At 39.5% G+C, this 7,677-nt stretch overlaps 3 annotated features.

The window, feature by feature from the left end:
* Positions 1-2,851: part of a biological region, named in NCBI's record as "NR0B1 5' regulatory region", that runs on past the window's edge. NCBI's record gives its function as "regulatory_interactions: NR0B1".
* Positions 1,685-2,851: an enhancer, noted in NCBI's record as "-4.1 kb CNE (conserved non-coding element)". NCBI's record gives the evidence for it as "EXISTENCE:reporter gene assay evidence [ECO:0000049][PMID:19773398]".
* Positions 2,181-2,385: a conserved region, noted in NCBI's record as "conserved region; human-mouse conserved sequence". NCBI's record gives the evidence for it as "COORDINATES:sequence alignment evidence [ECO:0000200][PMID:11923472]".

Raw genomic sequence — 7,677 nt, forward strand, 5'->3', positions numbered from 1 at the left:
CACATAACTCTGGCCTCTGCTTCCATCTCCTTCTCTGATTCTTGTAAGAATCTTTGTGACTATAATGGACCCACTCAGATAATCCAAGATAATATCTCTATCCAAAAATTCTTAACTTGATCACATATGCAAAGGCCTTTTCATTCTATAAGTTAACAAATGCACAGGTTCTAAAGGTTAGGACATGGACATCTTTGGACACTATTCAGCCTATCACAGGAAAGTTACTTAAGCTGTTTGTGCCTCAGTTTCTTCATTTGTCAAACATGCACAACAGCGTCTGTGAGGTAATCTTTATACATGAGTTAATTTGTGTAAAGTGTTTATAATAATGTTTGTTATGTGTCAAGTGGTGGATGTATCAACCATTTTAGGACAACGCAGAATAACTTCAGAGTTAGGAGGTGTTCCTGTACCAGCACTGCCACAGTTCTGTCTCTCCTAGGGAAGCCTCACACACACACAATTTCCACCCAGAAGATTTTATCCTACTTTCTTTGTGTGTCCACATTTCTTGGCCCAGACTCTAAACACTGGATGGGTCACCTGGTTCACACAATTGTGTGTTGGCAATATTGTTTCATGGGCTATTTCATTATTTGCCATTTCCAGTATTCAAGCTACTGTTTGGGGTATCGTCGTTACTGCTTTAGCAGTATTGTGGCAGTCTTCACTCGCCATACAGCCTCATCCCTCAAGTGCCACACAGGCACTGAGATCAGTGGCTTAATGAACCCACCAACCAGCCTAGCTGAAAAACCCAGCCGACCTTTGTCCCTACCTTATGTTGCCAGAGCTAGTCACGATTTCCTTTTCCTCCCAACACCTGACATGATTTATTTAGTTGTTCGATGCTTACTGATTGTGTCTCCTCCACTAATACAAAAGTCCTTTGAGGGCAAGGAATCTGTCACTCTGTATTGTGTCCCAGCAATTAGAATGATTTCTGACACGTAGTAGGTGCTCAAAAAATACATTTGTTGGCAAACTGTACCTTGAGGGAGAGAGAAGGCTACGGCTCCTACTGCCAATGGGCAGGCCGAGCACTCCCACCCAGCTATCGCTGCGCTGACCCTGGAAGGAGGACAATGTAGTAGGCCTTGTTAGACTCAGCATTTTCTGGAGGCCTGTTTTGCTACTCAGAGTGCTACAAGGACTGTGGTAAAGTAACAGGAAAAGTGGGTTAACAGTCAAAAGACCTGACCTTGAATTTGGGTTCTTCCACTCTAACAAAATAACATTAAACAAGTCATTTAACTTCACCCTTCTCATTTCTGAAGTGGGGACAAAATTCTATGAACCAATATTGATATGTACACTCTGTTCTAAGTCTGTAAGAGAGTTATTTTTTTTTAACATGGCCATTTTCAGAAATGTTTGCTGACTCTTCCATTACATTGGGATATAAATAAACAAATTTACACTCATTTACTTTCAATGATTTAACTGTGAGCAAAGTATTTAACATTATGTTAGCCTTTTCATCTAGAAAATAAGCAGTGCTAAAAACTAGTTTTAATACATGCACCTTGGTCCTGTATCTTTCTAAATTTGTTTCATCTCATCAACTAGATTTTTTTTTAATTCTAGAAACTTAAATCCATTTTCTGTGAGCAATCATTCCCACCTCACACATATCTGATGCCTTTGAATTTTAGGCATTATCTGAGGTTGAAACTTAAGTGCAGTGCTGAGAACCATGAATTTGTAACATATTAGTCATAGTTTCTCATCTTTCTCAGGGGTTGAGTCTTCCGATTTTCTTACTTTTGTTTTCCTTCAAGTTGCGATCTTCTATTTGCCACTCCGAAGGACCTTCTAGGTTCTCTGGATTGACTTTTTCTAAGAAGAGATTGCGTGCTTGTCCTTCACAAGTATTCATCCTTGAAAACATCACGAGAAAACTGACTTCATCTTTCCACTTTCCATTTTTTCCCCTGAACAAATAGCTCCTGAAAAACAAAATCGTCCAAACACACCAGAGCAGAGATTTGCACAGATTAATGCCAGCCTGCTGGTTGCTACAGGATTAGTGAAGACATAACCTTCTAAAGCAGGCACAGCCTTTTTCATTTGATTTGTTCCGTGTCCTCAGACCACTGTGACACCTAGACAAAAGGACACTTATCAACTGCACCTGTCATGTGCTGAGTTTGTCCACAACTGCAATTTGGATATTTACACTGACTCATTGTGCGATGACCTTGGCCAGTTGGACACCTGTTCTGCGGAATCCATTATCTGCTCCAACTCAGGGTGGGAGTAAAGCTGCTCTGCCTGCCTGAATGCAACCTTCAACTTCAAAGTAATGCAGTTTTTACTAAAGGATGTAGGAGTGAAGTACAGGTAGGGATAAAGCTGGGTAAAATTGTAAAATTGACCTTTTCGCAGCAAGCTGCTCTTGACCTGGGAAGCCTTGACGATGTGAAACATGATACGAATTTTTAACCTGGGCTTAAAAGAGCTACAATACCTTCGAATTCAGTTCCTTCAGAGACAGGTGACAGGGAGTAACAATAGTGTTTTCCTTGTTTTTTAAAGTAAATATCAGGTAAACACTATTGTAGATAAACACTAGCTGATAAAACCAAGAGATGGTCTTTTACCTTTCCCTTTCTAAGACCCAGAATGTCTAAAGCTATATTTATGAAAGAATTAATAGGCTTTAGGTGACTCATGAAACCCCTAAAGAAGATCAAATCATTAGTCTTTATTTCTTCCGATGAACTACAATGAAGTTAATCAGCTGCATTAGGGGTCACAGAGTTGCTGATCTGGAATTGTGACTCTAATAGTTCCTGTAATCCTGAAATGTTCTAAAATAAGCTTTCCAAATCAGTCAAACAACCACTTTGTTCAAGGAAAAATTTAATTCCATTTGTTTTTCTGAGTCTGCCAATTCTAAATCTACCTCAATACCAGATGTTGATGATACTATCTAATTAATACATTTAACTGACTGGCAGGCTTAAAAATTATGGCCCCATTGATTTAATGGGTCAGTTTGAAAAGCATTTCTCTATTGGTGCACATCACTTGTTCCCCAATAACAATGATAATTTTAGTTAGAAACTCCCTGCTTTGGGTCTGGAATTGTTCTAATATCGTCCTCCTAAAAATTGCCTTCTTGTCTCCTCCAACTTTTCTTAGCAACTTACTCCTCACAATCCTTGTTTTTGTTTGTTTCTTTGTTTGTTTCGTTTTGTTTTGTTTTTGAGACGGAGTTTCGCTCTATCACTCAGGCTGGAGTGCAGTGGTGCAGTGCAATCTCAGCTCACTGCAAACTCTGCCCCCCTGGGTTCAAGTGATTCTCCTGCCTCAGCCTCCCAAGTAGCTGGGATTATAGGTGCCCACCACCATGCCCAGCTAATTTTTGTATTTTTAGTAGAGATGGGGTTTCACCATGTTGGCCAGTCTGGTCTCAAACTCCTGACCTCAAGTTATCCGCCTCCCTCAGCCTCCCAAAGTGCTGAGATTACACGTGTGAGCCACCACAGCAGGCAATTCCTCACAGTCCTTGTATCTAGAGTCCATTTTACATTACCTGGCATATTGAAGGTGCTCAACAAACACCTGCTGAGTGAAACAGTGAGTGAAAAGTTTCTTCTACATCTGTGTATCTTTTAACTTCACGAGATTGCTCAGCCTTCACTCCTTTCCCTGATTTTGTGGTTTTTAGCAATTTTGCCAGCCCTGGTGGCTAGACTTAAGGTCCCTTCTGTCAAATTATCTGTCTTAACCACTCTGACGTCTATTAGGTTGGTGCAAAAGTAATTGCGGTTTTTGCCATTACCTTCAATTGCAAAAACTGCAATTACTTTTGCACCAAACTAATAGTTTGACAGTCTCTAAAATGAGAGTAAATTTTTTATGTTTATTTCACAATTTGCCAAATGTATGAAATAATGTTATATATATATATATATATATATATTTTTAAGTACCTCACAACTGTGAGTTATTAGAGCTGGATGGCAAATTCTTTTTTTTCTTTTTTTAATTGATATGTAATATTTATACATATTTGTGGGGCACATGTGATGTTTTGTTCCTTGCAGAGAGTGTGTAATGATCAAATCAGGGTACTTAGGGTATCCATCACCTCAAGTATTTATCATATCTATGTGTTGGGAACATCTCAATCCCTCTCTCCTAGCTGTTTTGAAATATACAGTATGCTTTTGTTAACGCTAGTCACTCTACTCTGCTGTTGAACACTAGAATTTGTCCCTTCTATCTAACTGTATGTTTTTACCAATTAACCAATCTCTCTTCATTGCCCCCTCCCTGCCCAACCTTCCCAGCCTCTGGTACCTATCATTCTACTCTTTACCTCCATAAGATCTCAATTTCTTAAGTTGGTGGCATCAGACTTTATGAAGTGAAATACTTCCCAATTCACTCAAATTTGTGCATTTGAAATTCTCTGCAGATATACAAGCCCAACGGGTTTGAAATAAGGGACCATCACAGCCAATAAACTGTCAATAAGAAGACATTCAAGTCTGGAGTTAAATGCATTCAACATTAGTAGTGTCATAAGCCTAATTGCTTTCTCTGAGCCCACAATGACAAGTGTATGAAGAAAAAAAATGTAGTGAATAGATGTAGGAGAATTTATTTGCAGCAAAGTGAAACACTGGTGATGAAGAAAATCAGAACCTTTATTTCTGAACTGATGTTTTTACCATGATCAGTGTGGCTGGGTAAATGAAAAGAAGCTGGCTTTGTTCTCTGAAGCAGGGAATGAGACAAGGACTGTGTACGCTTCCTTGAGAGATGATTCCAGGAAGCAGTGGTGAGTGCAGGAAAGTGAAATTGGGAAGGAGGAAAAGCCAGTATTAAGGTACATTACTATCCTCACTGCTCTGAGCAACAGGGGTAATTCCACCAGGACCTCCAAGGAAACATACAGAATGCCAACCAGAATTGTCTGCCCCAGGGAGGTGGCAACAGCATTTATCCATTAGTTTCCATCCTCCAAGGTTGAAGGTTGCCACCAAGTCTCCACTGGTATCCTAGCGTTGCAAAATATAGTGACATGAAAAAAGTCCCAGCCCACATGGAACTGTCTACCCACCTATACTTGGAATCAGAGGTATGGACAAAAAAGATACAAGGTAGAAAATCAGAGCTATCTAAAAGCTCATGGCCAATCATCCTTGATTCACTGCCACGAGATGAATCCCACTTGATATGGAGACTGGTTGAAGTGATGTAGTAACAACCCCAGGATTTCTCCGCTGAGCTTGTTCATCTTTGAAAAGCATGTTACCATTATGGTCCAAGTTGTTCAATTCTTTAGATAAGCAAGGCCTGAATGAGGGAAGCAGGAAAGAACATTCCCCCAGCACTGGATAATAATTTATCCTGACTGAGCTTTTATTCAACAGTGTTACCAGCCACTCTTTCATAGATAGAGAAAAAAAGAAAACACTGTTGGCCAGTAAAACAACAAAATTTCATTAGAGAGCCATAGCTTTTGCAAAATTAGAGGTCGTGGCATTACTTGTATCAGTTGGGTATTTCTGAATACTTTGACATTGTCCACAGGTTCTTAAAATTTTTCAATCTGTTTCAAAGGGGTTTAAGCAAAATCAGAACCTTTATAGAAGCCTCGTCTTGAGGCTTGAGGCATGACTGGATTCAGATACTTGAACTACATGACCAGGATATGTTTCTTGGAGACTTATGATCTCTCATTCTAATGTGAATTATCCTTGATTCATATCCTGCAACCCACCCAACTAACTTAGTAGCAAATTTGATCAACTCTACCTTCAAAATGTATCTCAGATTCAACACTTTCCCATGAGCACCATCACACCACTTTGGCCCGAGTCGCCGTCTTGTTTGACCTCAACTCCTGCAATAACCTTCCCACTGGTCCCATGCATCTTTTCCTTTTCTGCCTATAGCTAGTTTTCCAAATAAAGACTGATGCTTACAGATAAGTGAGATTATGAGTGTTCACTGCTCATAGCCTCCGATACCTTCCTGTCACACATAGGAAAGTGTAGCCTTGTAGGCCCTAGACTTTAAAATCTTACAGGATCTGGCCCTGGATCTCTCTCCAACTCCATCCCACATTTACTATGTGGCTCTAGCCACATGGCTTCCTTGATATGCCTCAAACCTGCAACCTCCCTCATCTGGACTGTTGGGCCAACTGCAGATCTTCACATGACTCATTGTTTTCACTTACATTAGGCCTTTGCTCAGATGTCATGACCTCAGAGAGGTCCTCCCTGGCCCCCCTGTCTAAAATAGCACCACACCACTCTATCCTTGCTGTCTGCTTTATTTTTCTTCTTGATCCTTATCAGTATACATATATGTTTATTTTGGGTTATTTATTGTTGGCCTCTCCCAGGAGAATATACATTCTATGAGAGGAGAGACTGAGGTATTTGCTGCTATAGTTCTAGCACGGGGAGTAGTGCCTGGAACCTGGGAGGTGATGAATAATGTGGTCCGGTTATTCTCTACATCTACTGTACCTGAGTGCCTTCTGGAAATTCTTTTTATTTTCCTGTTTACTGGGCAAAGGTTTCCATGGACAATTCCTTAATTAATAACCTGAACAACTATCTGGCAACTCACTCCTGCTCTGTCTCCGTGGCTTCCCTCTCTGGTTTAGGAGTCTCAGGTAGAAAGACATTGGTAGACAATGCCAACCTTCTCAGGAGCTTGTTACTTAAAAAAAAAAAAAAAAAAAAAAAAGCGTGCATTTTTTGGGTGTGTTTTCTGGGTCATGTGTTCCTCTGTCCTGGTTTATCCATCAATGTAACTATAGCTCCCTTCTATCTTCCAAAAATGTATCCAAATCTCTGTCCAGAGATTATTTCTTTCTCAAAGTTGTAACAGATTTATCCTGTCTGTATCATTTACTTTGTCATTCCAATAGCATTCTGTGAGAAAAAGTAAACCTATATGTTCCCTCTGTTACCTTGAGCCACATGTTTCTGGTTGAGTTTGTCAAACATGAAACTCTTGGGAGTGTGTGTGTGTGTGTGTGTGTGTGTGTGTGTTTAGAAACTGTGCAGTATTAGGTGCAGAGACTTAACCAAAAGTTGACCAGAGTCTACAAGGTTCAAGGTGGTAGAATTTGGTTTACAGACTGGTAAAGGGAAATTCTTTCCTGCTGGAGTTCTGATGTACAGAAGTAAAAAGGCACCATTAGGGACCAGATTCTAAACATCGGTTCAATAACCATTCAGCAGCATTTGAAATGGGCATTCCACATGTAAGAAAGGACACATACAAACAAAAAATGAAACTTTTGGTAAAAATTCTATTAAAATCCACCTAAACTAGAAGCAATGTAAATCAAATATAGTTTGCTATTTCTCCTGTATCTACAGCTGTATGTAAGAAAGAGGTAACTTGCGTGTTATTGGCATCCTTTACTCTGCAGATGAACATTAGTCTTATAATAAATACCTCCTTTTAAGACAGGAAAGGTCATTCTAAATGAGTTTGCTTTGTTTGGCATTTCTTAAAATTTCATTTAACTTAATTATGATTATTCATTTATTTCCTAAGTATCCTTTGAAAATTTCTTGATTAATGATCACTACAGCATAACCTTTCACATATCAAGGCCATTCAGTTCTCTTAAAATGGTACATTATATAATGCATTGCTTCACTATGTGCAAATCTCAGCTATATTTTA

The sequence above is a fragment of the Homo sapiens genome, chromosome X, assembly GCF_000001405.40.
Source record: "Homo sapiens chromosome X, GRCh38.p14 Primary Assembly".
NCBI classification, from domain to species: domain Eukaryota; kingdom Metazoa; phylum Chordata; class Mammalia; order Primates; family Hominidae; genus Homo; species Homo sapiens.